Source organism: Homo sapiens, chromosome 5, assembly GCF_000001405.40.
Source record: "Homo sapiens chromosome 5, GRCh38.p14 Primary Assembly".
Lineage (NCBI taxonomy): Eukaryota > Metazoa > Chordata > Mammalia > Primates > Hominidae > Homo > Homo sapiens.
In genome coordinates, this window is record NC_000005.10 from 113068996 (window position 1) to 113093401 (window position 24406).

The following is a 24406-nucleotide window of genomic DNA, read 5'->3' on the forward strand; positions in this document are numbered from 1 at the left end:
GACCTAGACCTGCACTATTCAATATAGTATCTACTAGCCACAAATAGCTACTTAAATTGAAAATATTCTGAGTTAAATAAAATGAAAAAGTCCATTCCTCCATTGCAGTAGCCATACTTCATATGTTCAATAGCCATACATGGCCAGTGGTTACCATATTGGGCAGTGCATGTAGAGAACAGTTCCACCATCACAGAAAAGTTCTATTAGATTCTCATAAAACTAAGTGCTTAAAATGTCTCATGAAACATTCTTAGGCCTTCACAAAAGCTCTGACAAGAGTTTGAGTTTGGATTTCTAGGAGGAGGAAACATAGTCACTCTTCTTTGTGCCCAACATTCATTGGGCAAACAAGGTAAAATATCAAACAACAGTCCCTTTCCTGTAGCGTGAGACCCACGTGGCCCACGTCCACACAAGAGGAGGTGGAACATGTGTACAGCATCCTCAGGGTCCCAGATAATATGCCTGCAGTAGGAACATTTCCTCTTTAAGAAAGTAACTGTCTAGCTTCTTCAAGCTGAACAGGGGATATGTTGCTTCATTTAGTCAACAGACAATTTCCTTTGATTGCCTTTCTTTTTTTTCTTTGAGACGGAGTCTCGCTCTGTCGCCCAGGCTGGAGTGCAGTGGCACGATCTCAGCTCACTGCAAGCTCCGCCTCCCAGGTTCACGCCATTATCCTGCCTCAGCCTCCCGCCTCAGCCTCCTGAGTAGCTGGGACTACAGGCGTCCACCACCATGCCTGGCTAACTTTTTTTTTTGTATTTTTAGTAGCGACGGGGTTTCACTGTGTTAGCCAGGATGATCTTGATCTCCTGACCTCGTGATCCGCCCGCCTCGGCCTCCTAAAATGCTGGGATTCCAGGCGTGAGCCACCGCGCCCAGCGTCAATTGACTTTATTTTCATTGTCCTTTACTAAGAGTTAAGACAAAGGGCTGAAATGCTAGCCCTAGGTGATACCAGCTCCTCGTTTCAAAGGCAGTTCATATTCCAGAGATGTGAGGACATTTCCTTATCCATGAGGTTGTACTAATGTGGAGAAAGACCTTTCTGCTCAAAGGCAGATTGTGGGTGGACAGCAACCAGCTTCAACGGTTATCACAGATGGATTATCTGCTTGCTTTGCTGTCTGTAAACCAGAATGATTGCTCTCTAGCTTTGGTCTCATTCATTTTGCTTTGATAATTTCCTGAATAAACAAGAATGTTTCTTAAACAATACCGAACTTTTTAGAGGATGCTAAGTGTACGATACAGTCAACTACTCTGAGGCCTTGGCAAATACACTTAAGTGGTAACACTAATAAAAGAAACCTATGATGATAATAATAAGGCATAGTTTTGCAGCTTTAAACAAGCAGTAATTTAAAAACAGATAAATTTCAAAGTGATGAGGCAGAAAAAAAAAAGTGGCCCATTCAAATTACCACTTGCTCACCAATGAGTGAACTGTAGTTATTTAAATTGACTTGTTTTCATGACAAAAAATCAGCAGCATGCCTGAAGACCAGGAAAATATTCATATCCTTTGACCTACAATTCCTGCTTTGGGATTTTATCCAGAGGAAAATATTCAAAAGAATGAAGATCTTATCTGCATTAAATTATTCATCATAGAATTATTTTTAATATCAAAAGTCTAAATGTCTTTTAGAAAAGTGAATAAATTAACAATATAAAAACTTGTTGGAGGGGTTACAGCCATTCAGAATAGAGACTATTAAAAGCAACATTTTAAGACTACAACAAAATGAAGAACTAGAATGCACTAGATTTATAACAATGTAAATTACATATGAACATGAATAAAGATCTGCAAGAAGAAATGAACATGTAACATGCCAAAAAAATCGATATTTTGAGTGATAGTACCTAAATGAAATGATATTTAAGATGAATATGCTAGGAGAAATATACCTGTTTACTAACATCATATTCATTACTCTTAGCTATTTGCTGTCCAAACCGCCAGATATGCCTTGGTCCAAACTGCCAGATATGCCTTCTAAAAGCCTATTTCCTACTTTTATTCTGAAGGTTACTCTGGATGCACTTCTACCCTGAAGTAGCTCCAAACATCCCAGTGTGTGCCTACCTGTACTGCAAGGCCAGCCTCAGCGCTGTGGCATTGGATTCGTATTTTCCCACCAGCATGCTCATCCTCTCGGCATTGCTTTTACATTCCTCCAAGGTTATGGTCAGGAGGTCATTTTGGGATTTGAGGTGCTCAATCCGGCTACAAAGGAACAAAAATCAGATTCACACTAGGGTTACAGTTAATTTGCCAATATTTCAGTTGTCTCATTTATATTCAGGGCAGAAAAGCATGTGAGGATGTGGGCCTGTCAGATTAGTAGCTGACACAGTATTTTGTCAAAGAAGCAACTCTACATAAAAGTATCACCAAACTCTGTGTGAATTACAAATAAAAAATAAGCCCCCTGGTTAAAAATAAGCCCCCCAGCCATTGCCACACTCACTCCATGTCTATCATGAGCAGGGCACAGTGCTAGGCTCTGGAGATATTCCAAGGAAAGGAGACAGTTGTGCAACCTCCAGGCCGCCATCATGTGGAACGTCTGGTGGGCTTAGATAAGTCACCCTCCACATGCAAGGATGAAAAGCAGCAAGACAGCAGTCATGGCTATTTGTTAAGCCTTTGCTTTAGTGATTCTCCTAGCAGCCTTTTGAATTAAGTGTTGTTACTCCCATTTCAGATGAGGAAATGGAGGTCCAGAAACATTAAGTATCTTGCCCTGGGATTTGAACCGGGAAGTGTGACCCCAAATCCCATCCTCATAATCACAAACTACAGAGAGAACCAAAGGAAGAATCAGTGAGTGAACAGGAAACTTCCCCTGGTGGCCTTTAAGTGGGAAATGGACGAGGAGCTATGGATTGTACCCAAAGCTGCTTTTGGGTTACACAGTCTAGCAGCTCTAACTAGTGGTAGGATAAGCATTGGGAACTTGAAGTTTTACAAGATTCAGAACTGTAGATTCAGGGCAAATGAGTCTGTGGCAAAGTTAGCAAACAAATGAATAATATGATCCTTCAGCTTCTCCGTTTTCCATCTCAGGGTACAGATGCTCTTGATGCCACAAGTCATTTTCCATGGACACATCTATTTGTAGTACTCTGACCACTAACTCTTAAAGAGAAAGCTTCACACAAACAAACTGCAAGTGACTTGAAATGTTAAGGGGTTTGGAAGCCATTAGCTTCAAGGAAAAATCTTAGACTCAAGCCTTAGAGCAGAATATGGAGACACTTGCCAACATGGGAGACATCTGGTGAGTGTAGAAGAACTAAGATCACTGCCAGGCTCTGGCCATTCCAAGGTCACTTCAAGGTAAGGTGCCACAAGAATGCTTTTCTGCCCCTGTTCACATTAAGACTTCTTGAAAAGAGTCACCATTCTCTCACTTTTCAACTTGCTCCAGTCTACAGTCTGTCCCGGCTAATTAGATAAAGCCTTTACCCAACTCATAGACCTCCATGTAGCCAAGCCCATCTCAGGGCCCTTCTCAGACAACACCCCACTGATCTGTTACTCTTTCCTTCTTAAAGAGCTCCCCTCACTTAAGCCATGGTGGGTCTCTGCTGGTTTTCTTCCTGCCCTAGCGGCTATTTCCTCTCAGTCTCCTTTGCTAGATGCTCATTCTCTATAAAATTAGTAAGGCTTGCCATTCTCTTGGGGCTGTCCCGGGGTCCCCTCTGCTATCAACACTCCCACCCTAGGGGTGATTTCTATCCAGTCCCATGATGTTATTAGGCAGGTATGCTCCGCTGGCTCACAACTTTCTCTAGCCCAGCGCTTTCTTCTGAGGGCCAGGCTCACATATCCAGCTGCCTTCCTGACATTTCCTTTTGCTGTCACATTGCCACCTCTAGTTTAACATTCCAAAGTGGGATTCTTGATTTCCCCTGAACCTCATCCTCCCTTATCTTCTCCATCTCAGTAAATGCCACCACCGTCTACCCAACACTACATGCTAGACCAAGCTTGTCCAACCTGTGGGCTGCATGGGGCCCAACACAAATTTGTAAACTTTCTTGAAACATTACGAGATATTTTTGCAATTTTTTTTTTTTTCAGTTCATCAGCTGTCATTTGTGTTAGTGTATTTTATGTTTGGCCCGAGACATTGCTCTTCTTCCAGTGTGGCCCAGGAAGCCAAAAGATTGGACACCCCTGCACTAGACCCCTGAGGATCTTTTTTGAGACCATTCCTTTCTCTTATTCAAGTGCAACCCAGCTGCAGTTTCCACTGCTTTCAGCACCACACATGGCGTGCGTGAGGCCCCTGGCCCCATCCTGCCAGAGCTGCCCTGGCATACCACAAAGATTGTGCTGCTTCCACTCTTATCCCATCCTTCCCATTCTCCACACCCAGGTAAGCTTCCATAATGTCAATCAGATCTTGTTTTTCCACATTCGAAAACCCTTTAATGACTTCTAATTACACTTCGAATAAAGAGTAAAATTTGTCCGTGGCATCAAAATCCACAGCTGAGCCAGCCCCTGCTCTGCCACCTCGTCTCATGTAGCTTCTTCCCCTTACTCCATTTCAGTTCCGCTGGCCTTTGGACAATTCCTCTTTCAGGCCTCATGGTTGTTAAGTGGCCATAAGAATATCAGTTCGCCATATGGCTGCTTTTTTTTTTTTTTCTTTTAAATCCATCTCAATGTAAGCCTCCCATCTTCAGATGCCTGCCCTGACTACCCACCGAAAAATTAACCTTCTCTGGGGTCCCACGCCCACGGAGCTTCGCTCACTGCTAGCACAGCAGTCTGAGATCAAACTGCAAGGCCACAGCGAGGTTGGGGGACGGGCGTCCGCCACTGCTGAGGGTTGAGTAGGTAAACAAAGTGGCTGGGAAGCTCAAACTGGGTGGAGCCCACCGCAGTTCAAGGAGACCTGCCTGCCTCTGTAGACTCCACCGCTGGGGGCAGGGCATAGCTGAACAAAAGGCAGCAGACAACTTCTGCAGACTTAAAAGTCCCTGTCTGACAGCTATGAAGAGAGCAGTGGTTCTCCCACCATGCAGTTTGAGCTCTGAGAATGGATAGACTGCCTCCTCAAGTGGGTCCCTGACCCCTGAGTAGCCTAACTGGGAGACACCTCCCAGTAGGGGCCGACTGACACCTCATACAGCTGGGTGCCCCTTTGATACGAAGCTTCCAGAGGAAGGATCAGGCAGCAACATCTGCCGTTCTGCAGTATTTGCTGTTCTGCAGCCTCCGCTGGTGATACCCACACAAACAGGGTCTGGAGTGGACCTCCAGCAAACTCCAACAGACCTGCAGCTGAGGGTCCTGACTATTAGAAGGAAAACTAACAAACAGAAAGGACATCCACACCAAAACCCCATCTGTACATCACCATCATCAATGACCAAAGGTAGATAAAACCACAAAGATGGGGAGAAACCAGAGCAGAAAAGCTGAAAATTCTAAAAATCAGAGTGCCTCTTCTCCTCCAAAGGAAGACAGCTCCTCGCCAGCAATGGAACAAAGCTGGACAGAGAATGACTTTGATGAGTTGATAGAAGAAGGCTTCAGACGATAGATAATAACAAACTTCTCCAAGCTAAAGGAGGATGTTCGAGCCCATTGCAAAGAAGCTAAAAACCTTGAAAAAAGATTAGACAAATGGCTAACTAGAATAAACAGTGTAGACAAGTCCTTAAATGACCTGAAGGAGCTGAAAACCACGGCACAAGAACTACATGATGCATGCAAAAGCTTCAGTAGCTGATTTGATCAAGTGGAAGAAAGCGTATCAGGGATTGAAGATCATATGAATGAAATGAAGTGAGAAGAGAAGTTTAGAGAAAAATGAGTAAAAAGAAATGAACAAAGCCTCCAAGAAATAAGGGACTGAGAGGTGACAAAGTGCTAGCAGCCCTTGCTTGCTCTTGGCACCTCGTCGGCCTCGGTGTCTGCTCTGGCCATGCTCAAGGAGCGCTTCAGCCCACCACTGCACTGTGGGGGCCCCTCTCTGGGGTGGCTGAGGCCAGAGCCAGCTCCCTCTGCTTGATGGGAAGTGTGGAGGGAGAGGTGCGTGGCACTCGTGGGCCAGCACGAGTTCCAGCTCAGCATGGGCTCACCAGGCCCCGCACTTGGAGCAGCCGGCTGGTGCCACTGGCCCTGGGCAGTGAGGGGCTTAGCACCCGGGCCAGCAGCTGTGGAGGGTGCACCGGGTACCACAGCACTTCCGGCCCGCTCGCGCCACGCTCGAATTCTCACTGGGCCTCAGCTGCCTCCCCGCGGAGCAGGGCTTGGGACCTGCAGCCTACCATGCCCGAGCCCCCCTCACCCCCTGTGGGTTCCCGTGCATCCCAAGCCTCCCCGATGGGTGCCGCCCCCTGCTCTGAGGTGCCCAGTCCCATCGACCGCCCAAGGGCTGAGGAGTGTGGGTGCATGGCACGGGACTGGCGGGCAGCTCCGCCAGCGGTCCCAGCGCAGGATCCACTAGGTGAAGCCAGCTGGGCTCTTGAGTCGGGTGGGGTCTTGGAGAACTTTTAAGTCTAGCTGGAGGATTGTAATTGCACCAATCAGCACTCTGTGTCTAGCTCAAGGTTTGTAAATGCACCAGTCAGCACCCTGTCAAAACAGACCAATCACCTCTCTGTAAAACAGACCAATCAGCTCTCTGTAAAATGGACCAATCAGCAGGATGTGGGTGGGACGAGATAAGGGAATAAAAGCAGGCTGCCCGAGCCAGCAGCAGCAACCCGCTCGGGTGCCCTTCCATGCTGTGGAAGCTTTGTTCTCTTGCTCTTCACAATAAATCTTGCTGCTGCTCACTCTTTGGGTCCGCGCCACCTTTAAGAGCTGTAACACTCAACGTGAAGGTCTGCAGCTTCACTCCTGAAGCCAGTGAGTCCACGATACCACCAGAAGGAACCAACAACTCCAGATGCGCCCCCTTTAAGAGCTGTAACTCACTGTGAAGGTCTGCAGCTTCAGTCTTGAAGCCAGCGAGACCACAAACCCACCAGAAGGAAGAAACTCCGGACACGTCTGAACATCAGAAGGAACAAACTCCAGACACACCATCTTTAAGAACTGTAACACTCACTGCGAGGGTCCACGGCTTCATTCTTGAAGTCAGCAAGACCAAGAACCCACCAATACTGGACACAGGACTATGTGAAAAGACCAAATCTACATCTGATTGGTGGACCTGAAAGTGATGGGGAGAATGGAACCAAGCTGGAAAGCACTCTGCAGGATATTATCCAGGAGAACGTCCCCAACCTAGCAAGGCAGACCAACATTCACATTCAGGAAATACAGAGAACACCACAAAGATACTCCTTGAGAAGAGCATCTCCAAGACACATAATTGTCAGATTCACCAAAGTTGAAATGAAGGAAAAAAATGTTAAGGGCAGCCACAGAGAAAGGTCGGGTTACCCACAAAGGGAAGCCCATCAGAGTAGTAGCTGATTTCTTGGGAGAAACTCTAAAAGCCAGAAGAGAGTGGGGGCCAATATTAAATACTCTTAAAGAAAAGCATTTTCAACCCAGAATTTCATATGCAGCCAAACTAAGCTTCATAAGTGAAGAATAAATAAAATCCTTTACAGACGAACAAATGCTGAGAGATTTTGTCACCACCAGGCCTGCCTTACAAGAGCTCCTAAAGGAAGCATAAACATGGAAAGGAACAACCGGTACCAGCCACTACAAAAACATGCCAAATTGTAAAGACCATCAAGGCTAGGAAGAAACTGCATCAACTAACAAGCAAAATAACCAGCTAACATCATAATGACAGGATCAAATTCACACATAATATTAACCTTAAATGTAAATGGGCTAAATGTTTCAATTAAAAGACACAGACTGGCAAATTGGATAAAGAGTCAAGACCCATGAGTGTGCTGTATTCAAGAAACCCATCTCACGAGCAGAGACACACATGGGCTCAAAATGAAGGCATGGAGGAAGATCTACCAAGCAAATGGAAAACAAAAAGAAGCAGGGGTTGCAATCCTAGTCTCTGATAAAACAGACTTTAAACCAACAAAGATCAAAAGAGACAAAGAAGGCCATTACATAATGGTAAAGGGATCAATTCAACAAGAAGAGCTAACTATCCTAAATATATATGCACCCAATACAGGAGCACCCAGATTCATAAAGCAAGTCCTTAGAGACCTACAAAGAGACTTAGACTCCCACACAATAATAATGGAGACTTTAACACCCTACTGTCAACATTAGACAGATCAATGAGACAGAAAGTTAACAAGGATATCCAGGAATTGAACTCAGCTGTCCACCAAGCAGACCAAACAGGCATCTACAGAACTCTCCACCCCAAATCAACAGAATATACATTCTTCTCAGCACCACATCACACTTATTCCAAAATTGACCGTGTAGTTAGAAGGAAAGCACTCCTCAGCAAATGGAAAAGAATAGAAATTATAACAAACTGTCTCTCAGAACACAGTGCAATCAAACTAGAACTCAGGATTAAGAAACTCACTCAAAACTGCATAACTACATGGAAACTGAACAACCTGCTCCTGAATGACTACTGGGTACATAATGAAATGAAGGCAGAAATAAAGATGTTCTTTGAAACCAATGAGAACAAAGACAAAACATACAAGAATCTCTGGGACACATTTAAAGCAGTGTGTAGAGGGAAACTTATAGCACTAAATGCCTACAAGAGAAAGCAGGAAAGATCTAAAATCGACACCCTAACATCACAATTAAAAGAATTAGAAAATCAAGAGCCAACACATTCAAAAGCTAGCAGAAGGCAAGAAAAAACTAAGATCAGAGCAGAACTGAAGGAAAGAGAGACACAAAAAACCCTTCAAAAAATCAATGAATCCAGGAGCTGGTTTTTTGAAAGGATCAACAAAATTGATAGACCGCTAGCAAGACTAATAAAGAAGAAAAGAGATGAATCAAATAGACGCAATAAAAAATAATAAAGGGGATATCACCACTGATCCCACAAAAATACAAACTACCATCAGAGAATACCATAAACACCTCTACACAAATAAACTAGAAAATCTAGAAGAAACAGATAAATTCCTGGACACATACACCTTCCCAACACTAAACCGGGAAGGAGTTGAATCCCTGAATAGGCCAATAACAGGTTCTGAAATTGAGGCAATAATTAATAGCCTATCAACCAAAAGAAGTCCAGGACCAGACAGATTCACAGCCGAATTCTACCAGAGGTACAAGGAGAAGCTGGTATCATTCCTTCTGAAACTGTTCCAATCAATAGAAAAAGAGGGAATCCTCCCTCATTCATTTTATGAGGCCAGCATCATCCTGATACCAAAAACTGGCAGAGACACAACAACAAAAAAAGAGAATTCCAGACCAATATCCCTGATGAACATTGATGCAAAGACCTCAATAAAATACTGGCAAACCAAATCCAGCAGCACATCAAAAAGCTTATCCACCATGATCAAGTGGGCTTCATCCCTGGGATGCAAGGCTGGTTCAACATATGCAAATCAATAAACGTTAATCCATCATATAAATAGAACCAAAGACAAAAACCACACGATTATCTCAATAGATGCAGAAAAGGCCTTTGACAACATTCAACAGCTCTTCATGCTAAAAACTCTCAATAATCTAGGTATTGATGGGACGTATCTCAAAATAATAAGAGCTATCTATGACAAACCCACAGCCAATATCATACTGAATGGGCACAAACTGGAAGCATTCCCTTTGAAAACTGGCACAAGACAGGGATGCCCTCTCTCACCACTCCTATTCAACACAGTGTTGGAAGTTCTGGCCAGGGCAATGAGGCAGGAGAAAGAAATAAAGGGTATTCAATTAGGAAAAGAGGAAGTCAAACTGTCCCTGTTTGCAGATGACATGATTGTATATTTAGAAATCCCCATCACCTCAGCCCAAAATCTCCTTAAGCTGATAAGCAACTTCAGAAAAGTCTCAGGATACAAAATCAACCTGCAAAAATCACAAGCATTCCTGTACACCAATAACAGACAAACAGAGAGCCAAATCATGAGTGGACTCCCATTCACAACTGATTCAAAGAGAATAAAATACCTAGGAATCCAACTTACAAGGGATGTGAAGGACCTCTTCAAGGAGAACTACAAACCACTGCTCAACGAAATAGAAGAAACAAACAAATGGAAGAACATTCCATGCTCATGGATAGGAAGAATCAATATTGTGAAAATGGCCATACTGCCCAAGGCAATTTATAGATTCAATGCCATCCCCATCAAGCTATCAATGACATTCTTCACAGAATTGGAAAAAAACTACTTTAAAGTTCATATGGAACCAAAAAAGAGCCCACATTGCTAAGACAATCCTAAGCCAAAAGAACAAAGCTGGAGGCATCATGCTACCTGACTTCAAACTATACTACAAGGCCACAGTAACCAAAACAGCATGGTACTGGTACCAGAACAGAGATATAGACCAATGGAACAGAATAGAGCCCTCAGAAATAATACCGCACATCTACAACCATCTGATCTTTGACAAACCTGCCAAAAACAAGAAATGGGGAAAGGATTCCCTAGTTAATAAATGGTGCTGGGAAAACTGGCTAGCCATATGTAGAAAGCTGAAACTGGATCCCTTCCTTACACCTTAAACAAAAATTAATTCAAGATGGATTAAAGATTTAAATGTTAGACCTAAAACCGTAAAACCTCTAGAAGAAAACCTAGGCAATACCATTCAGGACATAGGCATGGGCAAGGACTTCATGACTAAAACACCAAAAGCAATGGCACCAAAGGCAAAATAGACAAATGGGATCTAATTAAACTAAAGAGCTTCTGCACAGCAAAAGAAACTGCCATCAGAGTGAACAGGCAACCTACAGAATGGGAGAACATTTTTACAATCTACCCATCTGACAAAGGGCTAATATCCAGAATCTATAAACAAACAAATTTACAAGACAAAATCAAACAACCCCATCAAAAAGTGGGTGAAGGATATGAACAGACACTTCTCAAAAGAAGACATTTATGCAGCCAACAGACACATGAAAAAATGCTCAGCATCACTGGCCATCAGAGAAATGCAAATCAAAACCACAATGAGATACCATCTCACACCAGTTAGAATGGCAATCATTAAAAAGTCAGGAAACAACAGGTGCTGGAAAGGATGTGGAGAAACAGGAACACTTTTACACTGTTGGTGGGACTGTAAACTAGTTCAACCATTGTGGAAGACAGTGTGGTGATTCCTCAAGGATCTAGAACTAGAAATACCATTTGACCCAGCCATCCCATTACTGAGCATATGCCTAAAGGATTATAAATTATGCTGCTATAAAGACACATGCACATGTATGTTTATTATGGCACTATTCACAATAGCAAAGACTTGGAACCAACCCAAATGTCCATCAATGATAGACTGCATTAAGAAAATGTGGCACACATACACCATGGAATACTACTCAGCCATAAAAAAGGATGAGTTCATGTCCTCTGTAGGGACATGGATGAAGCTGGAAACCATCATTCTCAGCAAACTATCACAAGGACAGAAAACCAAACACCACATGTTCTCACTCATAGGTGGGAATTGAACAATGAGAACACCTGGACACACGGTGTGGAACATCACACACCGGGGCCTGTCGTGGGGTGGAGGGAGCGGGGAGGGATAGCATTAGGAGATATACCTAATGTAAATGATGAGTTGATGGGTGCAGCACACCAACATGGCACATGTATACCTATGTAAAAAACCTGCACGTTGTGCACATATACCCTAGAACTTAAAGTATAATTAACAACAACAACAAAAAAAAAAAAGAAAAGAAAAAAGAAAAATCACCCCTCCCAGAGCTTCTGTTGGTGTCCTATTTATTTCCTTCTTGGATCTTTCTTATCATCTTATTTGTTTTCTCTTTGGTCTATTTTCCCTAACAGAATATAAGCTCCATGAGAGCAGGGACCCTTTCTGTTTTACTTTGCTTTGCATGCCACATAGCCTAGCATATAGCAGATGCTTAACACAGATTTGCTAAAGAAGGAAAACATTTTGGTGGGTAGGGATGACCCCCCCTCCCCTGCCAATCATGAAGTTAAAGGCTAACATACTTTGAGAGTAATAGGCCTCCAACTTTGAGGTAGTTAGAATAGCAGACATCAGGATATACTGGTAGCTTATTTCTAAGAACCCCCAGGTTCCCGCAGCAGCTAGGATCACAGAGATGACAATGGAGGTGAGGTCAAAGGGTAAGGGTTGGAATTCTGTCTCAGCTACTTAATAGCTCTGGATTTAAGGCAAGTCACTCAACTTGGGACTTCAAAGCCTTTGTTTTCTCATTTGCAAAACAGGACTACTCTACCCTCACAAGCTGAGGATTAAGTGGCTGTCTGCGAGAGCCCTTTGTAAGCTGTTAAACACCATAATAACATCAGCTACCAGCAAAATATTTCCCCCTTCTTTGGTCTCTCCTGGGTGTATATAACGGAGTAGAAAGCAACTGCCCTATTCAAGGTCAGCCACAGATCCAACTTGTTAAAGCCCAGAATCTGTAGAGAGGAGATCCTCACTAAATCGAGGTCCCCCTGAAGGCATCTGACTTCATTAAATTGCAAAGGGCATATCTGATTCAATTTTTAAGCACTCCCAGGGCAGTGATACTGAAAAGACTGCTTCTTTACTGCCACTAAGTAATCACCAGGATTATCACTCTTAAGTATTCTGGATTTAATAAGGAAACCATTTAATTTCAAGATTTAAAATGACCTAGATTGCCAATTTACCTTAGTTCTCAAGAACTGTATTAAACAGCTTCAATCAGGCAGGACTAACATGATAATTCAATTTATTCTGGTTTGCCATACACAAGAGGAATGGAATTAAGCAACAGCGGATGGGGAACGGTATCCCTATTTCTTCCTGGTTAGCTCATAAGTCTTTCAAATTCTTACAATGCTCTCCCACTAAAGATTGGTAGGTCAAGGCAGCCACACCACACTCGGATGTGACTCAACAGTCCATTCTGCCACTGCAGAACCAATTCTGAGGCCAAGTGGTTTCCATGGTTTTGCCCTGGTCATTCTCCTTTGCTTTGTTAGCAACTCCCTCATCACTGGCATGACACATAAGAGAGTCTTTGCCAACAGGCAAAAGGGCAAACTGAAACTACCTCTTTTGTAAGACTTGAAAAGAATCCATAAAATGGGGTATATGGTAAAATTACTCTAGGTAGGACAGTTAGGATAGGATGTAGGGATCCAAGACTGAGCACATTTGCGAAGAACATAAATAAAACTAGGCAACCATCAGGAAGATGATCTAAATCAGCATGCCTGGTCGATGCCAGGAATGGCTCTACCAGATTGCCTGTGCTGTTTCCAGTAGCTCCAAGTGCCTCTAGGATGCTGACTCAACATTCCAGAACTCCCTTCTGTGGTTCTCTGCAGCACAGGCCTGCATGCTTGGCAGCCACCTGTGACCTACTTGCCATTCTGTAGGGACTGCTCCCAGGACTCACTATGTAATTTGCAAGGTCCAGTGTGAAACGAAAAAGTGGGGTCCGTTGTTTAACAATATTAAGAATTTAAAACGTTGACAGCAGAGCAGTGAAGCAAGTATGGCACCTTTCTAAGCATAAGGCCCATGTGAATGCCAGGTCACAGCCATGATGGCAGCTCAGACTGCTGTGAGCACTCCTCTGATGACCAAGGTGGTAGGAACTTCCATCCCCACCAGCCTGACGGTACTGCTCTATGTCACAATACATAAGCCACCTTGAACAGATCTTTGGAAAGAGAAGTGAGGAGTAGCACCTCCTCCCTGCCCCACAATCAAATCGATACGATCTCTCCTCACCTATTCAGCCGTTCTGTTTCCACCTCAAACTCTCTAATCTTGCTTTCTGAGATGGCAGATCCGTGTGAGTAGAGTGTTTGGAAAATCTCTTGGATATTGGAGCAGTCCTGAAGTGAGTGGGCCAGGTGTTCAGCCACACTGCTGGATACCTGCAAAAAGAAGCATTAATTCCCCTTTGGAACATATCATTTCAGAGATGCATGTTTTGCATGCAAAAGAATTTAAAGCTGATATTCCGTGAGAATCGGGGACTGGGAGGATGGTTACCCTGAAGGTTCTCAGTTTGTAGGATAGAATCCTAGTATGAAAAGCTAACTATTAAATACTATAAAAGCAGTAGAAAAAAAAAACCAGGATCAAAATATGGCTCCTTCCCCAAGCACGTGGTGCTGGGCAGCCAGGATGGGGAGATCATGCCTTCTTGGAGTTCCTTAAATTCTGAATGTGGAACAGAGTCAGGATTTCTTTCCCCTATCCTGAATTCCCTGCCACTCCAGGCCACTGTTTTTGGTTTCTGTAGCCCAGGAGAGGGGCTGACTCCTTCATTTTCACAATTTGGCTTTGGCACAGAATCTGAATGCATGCATTTTTGCTCAGTGTAAAATTCTAAATTAGGGCCTTAAAATGCTATTCAGGCTCTCTCTGCCTCTGAGGATCAAATAGCTGGCTCTCTAAGCCTCATCCCCAATCCTAAAAGATCCCTTAAAGAAATGAAACTACTCCTTTTCACCATCCATCAGCTCTTACAGTCCCAGGGGGTTTCCAGACTCCACAAATGAAAACTCTGGAACTAAAGTGAAGGTTCTGGTCTTTCCCACCACTGGGCTAGGCTTCAAAGACAACATTCCTCCTCAGTGGAAAGCACATCCCCTTTCAAGATGGATGTGCAAAAGACAAAGTTATTTTAGAGCTCTTGGTCTCTGGGGTAGCAGGGTGATATAAGACAGATACTTCAAGACTTTCATCTATATCACCAAGAACTGGACCTAAATCATTTGTTTCTGAATGGTTTCAAGGAAAGGAAAAAAAATCTCCCTTAAAGCTGAAGAAGTAATTCACCATATGGATGGAAATCATCATACATTTTAATTTAATCCTTTGGAAGGAAATCAGGTATGATTTACTATTATAACTAACTGGTTTATTGGAGATAGACTTTGGAAGTTCTTCTGTCATCTATAATCCATTGTCTGTGTAGCTCTGCCGGGTACTTTCTTGCCTTGCTTCTCATGAACACTCACCCCTATGCTACTGATTTCTGAGCCCAGGACTGGCCGATCAGATGATGACGATTCGGACCTTGTCTTTGATAGCTTCACCCTCTCAGCAATCTTAAAAAAGAAAACAAAACATTATAGAAAACTACACACCACTCCTCAGATAAACTGTTGGGACTACGCTTATACAGGGCTACTTTTTAGCCATGTCAACTAAATGATTAAAGAACTTAAGAACAGCTCACGTCCAATTTTTCTACCACCAGCTTAAGCCAGGGCCTTTCAACTTCAGCACTGCTGATATTTTGGCTTGGATAATTCTTTTTATGGGGGTCTGTCCTGTGCATTGTAGGACATTTGTCAGCATCTCTGGCCTCTAGCCACAAGATGCCAGTAGCACTCCAATTGTGACCATCAAAAATGTCTCTAGACATTGCCAAATGTCCCCTGGAGGATGAAATCACTTCTGGTTAGAAAACACTGGTTTAACCTAACTTATTAAACTTGATAGTTAAGAATCAACCTTATTGTGGTGGCTAGCAGAGCTACCAGGCAAGCCAACAGGCATAATTTTAATCATCTGAGACAGACTCAACATAGGTACTGGGGGGCTGTGGCAGTGAGTCAGTGGGGCTACTTCTCACAGCTGCCACAGCCTGTCCATCATAATCTATTTTTCTTTTTTTGTGGCAGAGCTGTCAGTCTTGTGAGTGGGGAGATCATTGGTTCATTACTCAAGGTCCCTGACTGGGCTGAACCTTAGTCTTTGAGAGCAACTCTGTCCACTGTGAAGTACTGGAGCACTTGACAAAACGTCTCACTCTCCATAATGACTTGTCAGCTGTGACATTCTCCAGCTGGCTGATTAATGAGAGCTGGCGTCCAGGTTGCAGCTGAGAGAGACTTAAAACTATTAGTGGGTTATCTCTCCTTGCAGCTCCTGCATAGAAGGCCTGCGTAAGGTCCCAGGGGAAGCCCCTTGTGCTGTCTCAGCTAAGGGCATGCCTGTACAGTGGCTAGGATGAGCCTGGTGCTTCCAGATAACAGGAGGTGTTCCCGCTCATCGGGTCCATCCCCAGGAACTCACCTTGGCGATGGGAATGTCATTGCTGCTGCTGCTTGTGCTCAGCTCCCCAGTGCTGGGGTTAATCGGGCGGTTGGTGGAAGTGAGGCGGCCAGGGCTGGAGGGACCTGTGGCCTGCACGCTCTGTAGTCGAGTTTGAAGCTCTCTGACCTGAAATCATAATGCTTTTAGACATAGTTGGTGGTTTCCCTGGCTAAAGAGCAAAACAGCCAGATGGGTAGGTGGTGGGGCTTTCATTTACATTGAGGGATCAGCCCACTGAAAAGCTAGGTTGGTTGAGTCCACATAAAAGTCATTATATTCCTTTTTTCGGACTAATAATTTTTTTTTAATGAATCGGTTTCTTAAATCACATGTAATACAAAAAGTAGAGTTATAAACCAAAGTGATGATATTACTAGTTTTTATATTTGCCTAAGAGTCACCATATTCTTAACGGAATCTGCCACAGACCATCACCTATTCTTCACAAGCATGAGGTGAACATATTATGTAAGGCCCTGGAAGCTTCCAGGATGGATGACCATCTTTTTTTATTTTTATTTTTTTGAGACAGGGTCTTGCTCTGCTGCCCAGGCTGGAATGCAGTGGTGCAACCATGGCTCACTGCAGCCTTAATCTCCTGGGCTCAAGGGATCCTCCTGCCTCAGCCTCCTGAGCAGCTGGGACTAGGTGCACACACCACACCTGGCTAATTTTTAAATTCCTTTGTAAAGATAGAGTCTCGCTATGTTGCCAGGGCTCGTCTTGAACTCCTGCACTCAAGCGATTCTCCCACCTCAGCCTCCCAAAGTGCTGGGATTACCGGCATGAGCCACTGTGCCAAGCCACTGGATAACTACCTTTAAGGAATGTTTATTCTTTCAGCCCCACTTGCCTGACTGTGCTGGGGACTGCGGACGAGGACCCAGGATGATATCACCTCTCATGGAATCATCATTTCAGAGCCCAGAGGAGACAGGAATGATTTCAAGACAAGTGCACTTGAGTGTTATAAATTTCTATGTCAAGTGTTACGGGAAGCAGAAAAAGGGAAGAATATAACTCCAGCTGAAGTCATCCAGAGAAAGCTGAATGAAGACAGTGGTACTTGAGCAATCTTAAAGGAGAACAAGTGAGGAGATGGCTTTAGTGGTGATATGCCTGGGGGGTTGAACAGGTGCTAGGATGATATGCTATGTTTGAAGAGGTGCAAGTTATTCAATATGTGTGTTTTAGCAGAAGTGTCTGTATTGGGGAAAATATTAGGCTAAGAGAAGAGACATTGATGGAGCCAGCACCTTTTCCCCAAGTTACCTACAGATGAGATTTTCCCTGGAATAGTAGGTAGGAACGTCTAAATAGTCCTTCTATATAAAAAAGAAACACGGGACCCTCTAAGTTACATTTAAAACGTGCATTTACCTGCACAGAAATTAAATGTCCAAATCCTGCTCCTCTATAGTTACAACTCTGTGACTTCCAAAGAGAGAAGTATTCCAAGTAGCTGAAGAGAGTTGCTAGAGATTGGTCTTTTATAACCTTGGTCGCAGTTTCAGCATGAGAGTGCAGTGTCTACCTGAAAGAGCAAACTAACTACAACACCCAGCGGTCCTTACAAATGGACATCAGACTTTGTCGGGCTGGGAAGAGTTAGCACTAGGAAATTTAAGACAGGGCTTTCTAAACAGAATGTGTACTAGAATCCCCCAGAGGGCTTGCTAAAACAGATTCCAGGGCCCTACCCCAGGGATTCTGATTTAGCAGGGTCTGGATGAAGCCCAAGATCTGCATGTCTAGTAAGCTCGCAAAAGATGCTGATGCTGCCGGTCGGGGACCATACCTTGAATAGCACTCACCTAAGGGACTTCCAAGGCCACAAAGCACTTTAATCCCATAGACAGGAAGAGTGGAGCCATGCCCCGGTGCCAGCCCTGCCGCCAAAAGTCTTCTAGACAGGGCAGAGAACAGGCAGGCACATGGCCCCTTCTCTAAAAGGCACTGGAAAGCTTTTCATATTAAATGTCTAGGATGTCTCCATCCTGCTAACTTGGGAACCAAAAGTAATTGAAATTTCAATAATTCATCAACATATTAGAAGCTAAAATAGGAAAATTCCCTCAAAGCAAATTGCATTCAATAGTGCAACAGCTCAAAAGTGCCTAATGCTCTGCCACGGTTCCAGTAACGGAGGATCGATGGAAACGCTTGCTGTCCTCAAAACAGACCAGACACAGGGCTAAACTCAAAATAGCCTAAAGAATAGGAAAATATATCCCTGTAGAAGCCAAATGGTACTGCTGATGAAGGATTACAGGACTCGTTCTGAAATGGTCCCTCACAAACCAAAAATGGGTACAGGGGTGGATACCTCATTATGCCACAAAGAGAGACTGGGCAAAGAGAGAGGGCTCATTCATTTCCTCAGGGACTGGGGGAAACCTCCCGGTGGAGACTTGCAACCTCCGGTGAATTCAACCTCCCGGTGAATTTCAGTTTTTACTGCTGATGAGTCTGATAAGGTCCTGAATAATTAACAATGTTAACACCACTCCAAAACCTAAATGGTGTCTGAATTGCACTCAAGACAATCAGTGGTCTGTTCTTAGAATCCCTACTGGCCTACTCATCTTTTTTTTTTTTTTTATATCTCTATTTAAAAAAAAATACAGATAAAAAAAATCCTGGGCAATTTATAAAGACTTCATTAAAACTATCCATGTTTTAAAAACATTTCTTCTTCTAATCACAAAAGTAAAACATGCTCACTGTGGAAAATGTAGATGACACTAAAACATAAAAACAGTCAAAGTGCTTATGTTCTTTCTTACTCTACAGAGGCAATTTACTCTAATCATTTTCCTTGCTGTGTATGTGCACACATGTGCTTAAAATAATTTCTAAATCTAAATATCTACTTTCACTTTAAAAACTTCGGACCCAGAGAATGTCTTTAAAAACTAAAGATGATAAACATGTTTATTTTGGGCTATGCTTTATTATTTAATGATAGTTGCTAGCCAGTGGAAACAAACCCAGCTGAAGGGAGTGCAGTGTGCCTGTCAGGGAAAGAAAGACAGCTGGTTAAGTGGCCTTCTCCCCCTTCTTTTGATTTGAGAGTGAGAATCTTAATTTACAGGAATAAATGCAAGAAACTAAGGCTAAAGCCAATATGCTGAGTCAGCTTAGGCATGGCTTCGGAAAGAGGCAGAAACATAGTTAATAGAGTTCTCACTTTTATTCTCACCCATTGTAGTGGGTTGGATTATGTCTCCCCCAAAAGATATGTCCAAATTTGAATCCTCAGTACCCGTGAATGTGACCGCATCTCAAAATAGGGTCTTTGTAGATATAACTAAATTAACGATCTCAAGGCAAGATAATCTGATTTGGGTGGGCCCTATGTGCAATGACTGGTGTTCTTTTAACAGAAAAGGAAGGGATATTTAAGACAAAGACAGAGAGACACAGGGAAGAAGGTCCTGTGAAGATGAAAGCAGAGATTGGACACAAGTCAAAGAGCACCAAGAGCTATCAGAAGTTCGAAGAGGCAAGGAAGGATTCTCTTTCAAAGCCCTTTGAGGGAGTGTGGCTCTGCTAACACCTTGAGTTTGGACTCCTAGACTCCAGAACTATGAGAGTTTGTAGTAATCCAAATACTCCTTCTTCATTGAAGACTTATTTTTTTGAGACACGGTCTCACTATGTTGTGTTGCCCAAGCTGGCCTCAATCTCATGGGCTCAAGAGATTTTCCCGTTTTAGCCTCCCAAGTGGCTGGGACTACAGGGGCATGCCACTGCACACGGCTATTTTTATTGAAGGAATTATGTTTCTCTCTACAAAATATATATTTTGGAGTCAAGAGATAGCCAAGAACCAGGGCTAACCTGAGGCAGGGACTGACACTTGCGGGAACATCATTCAGCACCCTTCACAGCCTTTCTCAACTGGGGTTCCTCAACACCAGAACATGACCTGAGAGGCTGTTTTTTCACTTCTCCTGAAGTTACTGCGTGTCTGGTAAACATTATGATGGGAAACATGCTCTGAAAGAGGGGTATCAACAAGGAGTGTCAAAGTGCAGAAGAAGAAACCTGGCTGGCCTCTGCCTTCCTAGAGCAGGCAACGCTAGAACTCAATCTTGAAGGCTGAACTGTTCAACAAGCAAATAAAGAGGAAAAGATAATGGGGAGACTCTGGAAGGTTCAAGTAGGGAAATGACATTAAAAGGTTGCAGTTGTTACCCTCTGGTATTTCTTCAAGGGTTTTGTAAAAATCATTTGATTAGAGGAGAAAATGGACTGAAGTAAGGAAGAAAAAGTTGGTGAGCCAAGAGCTCTACTGATGGTTCAGATAGGAAATTATGAGGGCTCAAATACAGTCAGCGAAGTGGGAATAAGGATGGCAAAATACACTCTAGACCAGTACTATCCAACAGAACTTCCTGTACAGACGGAAATGTTCTAGAGTGGCACTATCTGCTATGGTAGCCTGGTGCCACACGTGGCTGTAAGCACTTGCAATGTGCCTGGTGTACTCAAGGAACTGAATTTTTAATTGTATTGTATTTTACTTTATTTAAATTCAAATCTAAATGGTTGTATGTGGCTAGTAGCTACTGTACCCATCAGTGCAGTTCTAAAAATATTCAAGGAGGTGAAAAAACAAACAAAACACCCAAACTTGTAGCTGGGGTGATTCAGTGGATCATGGAGTTACTTAGCAATGAGAAAGAAAAACATAAAGAGAAGCTGATCTTTTCGGAAAGAAATGACCAGAGCTGACAATGTCCGGAGCTGACAATGATATCAGCTTTGGACATGCTGAATTTGAGAAAACAACTGGGTATGTAAGAGAGGGCTTATCAGTCAACAATTAGAGATGTAAGTCTGAAGGAAAGCAATTAGAACTGGATAGATAGATTTAGGAATGCTGGGCATGGATAAGGTCCAGGAAGGAGGTGTGGCAGTGTGGTGGGCAGAGTGCCTGTGTGGAGCTGGCAGGAGTGGAGGGTCAGTGGAGGACAGGGAGATGGGGACACCTTTTTCTCGGGGAGAAAAGGAAAGGAGGTGAGGACGGGCAATAACAAACGTGATTTGCAGACTGTCAGGGGAAGATGCGAAACAGGGACTCCCATCTGATGGCTTCTATTTTCTCTGCTAGGCATGAGGGGGGAATGTCAGAAATGAGAAAGGAGGCTGACCTAGGACCAAAAAAGAAAAAAAAAAAGGAAGCTTACACAGCAGCACTGACAGCTCAGTTGAGCTCTCTTTGAAGACAGTAGACTGAAGAACACATTGTTTTCTTCCAACTCTAGAGACCTCAATAAATAATAGTACAAAATAAAAAAGGATTAAAACCACAACGGAGATAAGAATGTGCCTGGGGCATTGGCCGAAACAAAATTTGGACACGTTCCTCAACGGCCAAGTGAAAAGAAGAGCACTGATGAAAGACACAGAATAAAAAAAGTCTATAATGTATACAAAGAGAGGCAGCCAGTCTACCCAGAAGGACGATGGCAGACTCTAATTCAGCTTTGGCAGAGAGCAGGAAGGACAAGAATGAGAACAGAGGCTTTCAGAGGTTAACAGAGGTTGCAGCTATGTAACTGTACACAACAATTGAAACTTCCCGGCATATGACAGCTTCAGCTAAAGTCAACAGGTGCTCCTATTAAAAATGCATAGAAATCCTGCATTAAAAAAGGAACAATGAGAAATAAATTCATTGCCAAGGTCAAAAGACAGCAAAATCTCCAGATGCCAGAAATGAGAAAGAAGGCTGAAGGAGTTGCCAGGAGGTGGTGCCACCGCAAGCCCAGGGGCTGTGAGCAGGGCACAGAATGAGAGCGTGGGAGGGAGGAGATGGAGGGCGCCTGCTAGTCTAGCTGCTTGAGCTGATCCCTCTGCCTCACGCCTGGAGCCTCTCTGCTCGACCCATAGGTGAAAAGCTGAAAGTGCTGTCCACAGAAGGAATCCTGAGGCTGTGCAGCGGAGTCAACCTTCAGAAACCAAAACCCCAGACCAGTGGCACCTTTGGGTGTGAGGTCCAAATTTATACTATCTGCATACTGTGGGACTCCAAACTTGACATGAACACTGGAAACTGGTTTGGATTTTGCCAGGCCACCCACTGCCTCAGAAACTGCCTAATTTGTAAATCGCCCAGTATCAAGAGAGAACAGGAGACTTAGGCTTCCCATGACTGGGAGCCCAGGTCCACAAAGCTGCCAGACACAGAGTGAGGACAACTACAGAGAGCAAAAGATAAAACAAGAGAGCCAGCAGTCTGAATCAGGAGCTGAATTCACCCTAGGGGAAATGAAAATAAAGCAACTGGTAAACCACATCACAATAGGTACACTGAGGAACCTTAAAGAGATAAGGGGAATAATTTCCTTAAGATTAAGAAATAATGAAACAAAAATAGACACCAAATCTTAAAAGCCTTCTTGTGGGGCTAGGCACGGTGGCTTTGGTGGTAATCCCAACACTTTGGGAGGCCAAGGTGGGAAGGTTGCTTGACCCCAGGAGTTTGAGACCAGCCTGGGCAATAGCGCAAGACCCTGTCTCTACAACAACAACAACAACGAATCAGCCAGGAGTGGTGCGTGAGCCAGTAGTCCCAGCTACTCAGGAGGCTGAGGTGGGAGGATTGCTTGAGCCTGGCAGGTCAAGGCCATGGTGGGCTAGGAGGATCACACCACTGGACTCCAGCCTGGGTGATGCAATGAGACTCAGACACACACACACACACACACCACACAAACACACACACACACACTGCCTTCTCATGGGATAGAGGCATCTCAGGTTCTGTGGGTCTGTGGGTGTTGTTCTGTTTCATTCACTACTGCATTGCCAACACCTTCAACAGGGACTGACACAGTCTCAATAAAATCTATTGAATGCCACTAAAAAACCTATCACCTTAAAATCTAATGCCTACTTAGAATATTGTGGTAGGCTGAATGATGGCCCCCAAAGGCATCCACGCCCTAAACCCCGAGAAATGTAAATGTAGCCTTGTACGGCAAAAGGGAACTGAGATGGGTAGAGTATCATGGATCATCTAGGTGGACTCAGAAGTCACAAGACCCCTCTAAGAGGGAAGCAGGAGTGCCAGAGTTAGAGCTCTGAAGATGCTATGCTGCTGGCTTGGGAGATGAAGGAAGGGGCATACTCAAAGGATGCAGGCTCCCTCTAGATGCTGGAAGCGACAAGGAAGTATATTCTCCCCTCCAGCCTCCAGAGAGATGCAGCCTTGCCGACACTTTCATTTTAGTGAATGAGATGCATTTTGGACTTCTGACCCCCTAGGACTGTAAGATGATAAATTTGTGTTGTCTTAAGTCACTAAGTTCATGATAATTTGTTACAGCAGCCACAGGAGATTACACAGCTATTATCAAGAGTGTGGGCAAAAATAAAGACCCTCTCAAAGATTAAGAATCTATCACCTATAGATCTTTGCTGAAAGAATTTCCTAAGAATACATGATTTTCAGTACCAAAGAAAATTAAACCTGAGAAAAAGAATGAGATGAAAGAAACAATGAAAGTACAAGAGCTGACACTGACGTAGGTGGTGAAATACTCCTTTGCTGCTGTTGGGCGGATGGGCTGGCCAGATTTCCCAAAAGCTGCCCTGGGGTACTTGGTCAAAGCAAGACTATACACACTCTGAGACTCAGCAGTTTCACTCCTGGACATGTGATCCTGAGTAATTCCCACCAGGCCGGAGGAGACATGTGCAAGGGACTATGCCCCGGAGCATTGTTTGTGGTCATGGGAAATGGGAAGCAATTTGATTGTCAGCTGCTGTAAATGCAATAGGTGGGTCACTATAGAATGCTAGATGTCCTTAGACACACAGGACCAGATGTACACACAGCCATATGGACAAACCTTAAAATCAGAGTGCTGAGGAGAAAAACATAAGAGAAGGCGACAGCAGAGTAACATTTAAATAAATTAAAAGTAATGCAAAACACTATCTTAGGACATGCACAAAATGGGGGGAAGGGGATGGGATATTATATGGGATAAATTATTTGCAAGGAATAAATTAAAAGAGGGACCAGTGAATGTGACTAGTGAATATAATTATCTTCTCTCTCTGTCCTGAGTGCCAAATTACAACAAAAGCCAGGCATGGTGGTGCGCACCTGTAGTCCCAGCTACTCAGGCAGCTTGCTATGCAGGAGGATCGCTTAGCTTAGAATTCAAGGGTCGAGCGCACTGTGATTACACCTGTCAA

At 43.8% G+C, this 24406-nt stretch overlaps 1 protein-coding gene across 2 annotated transcripts in view, besides 5 other annotated features; it reads right to left on the reverse strand.

Moving 5' to 3' along the window:
- Window positions 1–24406, reverse strand: part of MCC (MCC regulator of Wnt signaling pathway) — a 466348-nt gene that overhangs the window by 46890 nt on the left and 395052 nt on the right. For both annotated transcript variants that reach the window (NM_001085377.2, NM_002387.3), the window contains 4 exons: window positions 16169–16315; window positions 15106–15195; window positions 13865–14013; window positions 2099–2239 (listed from right to left, as the gene is read on the reverse strand). In NM_001085377.2, the coding sequence (NP_001078846.2) occupies window positions 2099–2239; window positions 13865–14013; window positions 15106–15195; window positions 16169–16315 (527 nt within the window). The remainder of the gene's footprint in view (window positions 1–2098; window positions 2240–13864; window positions 14014–15105; window positions 15196–16168; window positions 16316–24406) is intronic.
- Window positions 164–940: an enhancer, noted in NCBI's record as "H3K27ac-H3K4me1 hESC enhancer chr5:112404856-112405632 (GRCh37/hg19 assembly coordinates)". NCBI's record gives its function as "activates a minimal SCP1, AML or CMV promoter by ChIP-STARR-seq in naive and primed H9 embryonic stem cells {active_cell/tissue: H9 hESC(naive and primed)}" and the evidence as "EXISTENCE:reporter gene assay evidence [ECO:0000049][PMID:30033119]".
- Window positions 941–1715: an enhancer, noted in NCBI's record as "OCT4-NANOG-H3K27ac-H3K4me1 hESC enhancer chr5:112405633-112406407 (GRCh37/hg19 assembly coordinates)". NCBI's record gives its function as "activates a minimal SCP1, AML or CMV promoter by ChIP-STARR-seq in naive H9 embryonic stem cells {active_cell/tissue: H9 hESC(naive)}" and the evidence as "EXISTENCE:reporter gene assay evidence [ECO:0000049][PMID:30033119]".
- Window positions 4345–4846: an enhancer, noted in NCBI's record as "H3K4me1 hESC enhancer chr5:112409037-112409538 (GRCh37/hg19 assembly coordinates)". NCBI's record gives its function as "activates a minimal SCP1, AML or CMV promoter by ChIP-STARR-seq in primed H9 embryonic stem cells {active_cell/tissue: H9 hESC(primed)}" and the evidence as "EXISTENCE:reporter gene assay evidence [ECO:0000049][PMID:30033119]".
- Window positions 11913–12834: an enhancer, noted in NCBI's record as "OCT4-NANOG hESC enhancer chr5:112416605-112417526 (GRCh37/hg19 assembly coordinates)". NCBI's record gives its function as "activates a minimal SCP1, AML or CMV promoter by ChIP-STARR-seq in primed H9 embryonic stem cells {active_cell/tissue: H9 hESC(primed)}" and the evidence as "EXISTENCE:reporter gene assay evidence [ECO:0000049][PMID:30033119]".
- Window positions 12830–14029: an enhancer, noted in NCBI's record as "CDK7 strongly-dependent group 2 enhancer chr5:112417522-112418721 (GRCh37/hg19 assembly coordinates)". NCBI's record gives its function as "activates an origin of replication core promoter dependent on BRD2, BRD4, P300/CBP, MED14 and CDK7 cofactors, with strong dependence on CDK7, by STARR-seq in HCT116 cells {active_cell/tissue: HCT116}" and the evidence as "EXISTENCE:reporter gene assay evidence [ECO:0000049][PMID:35650434]".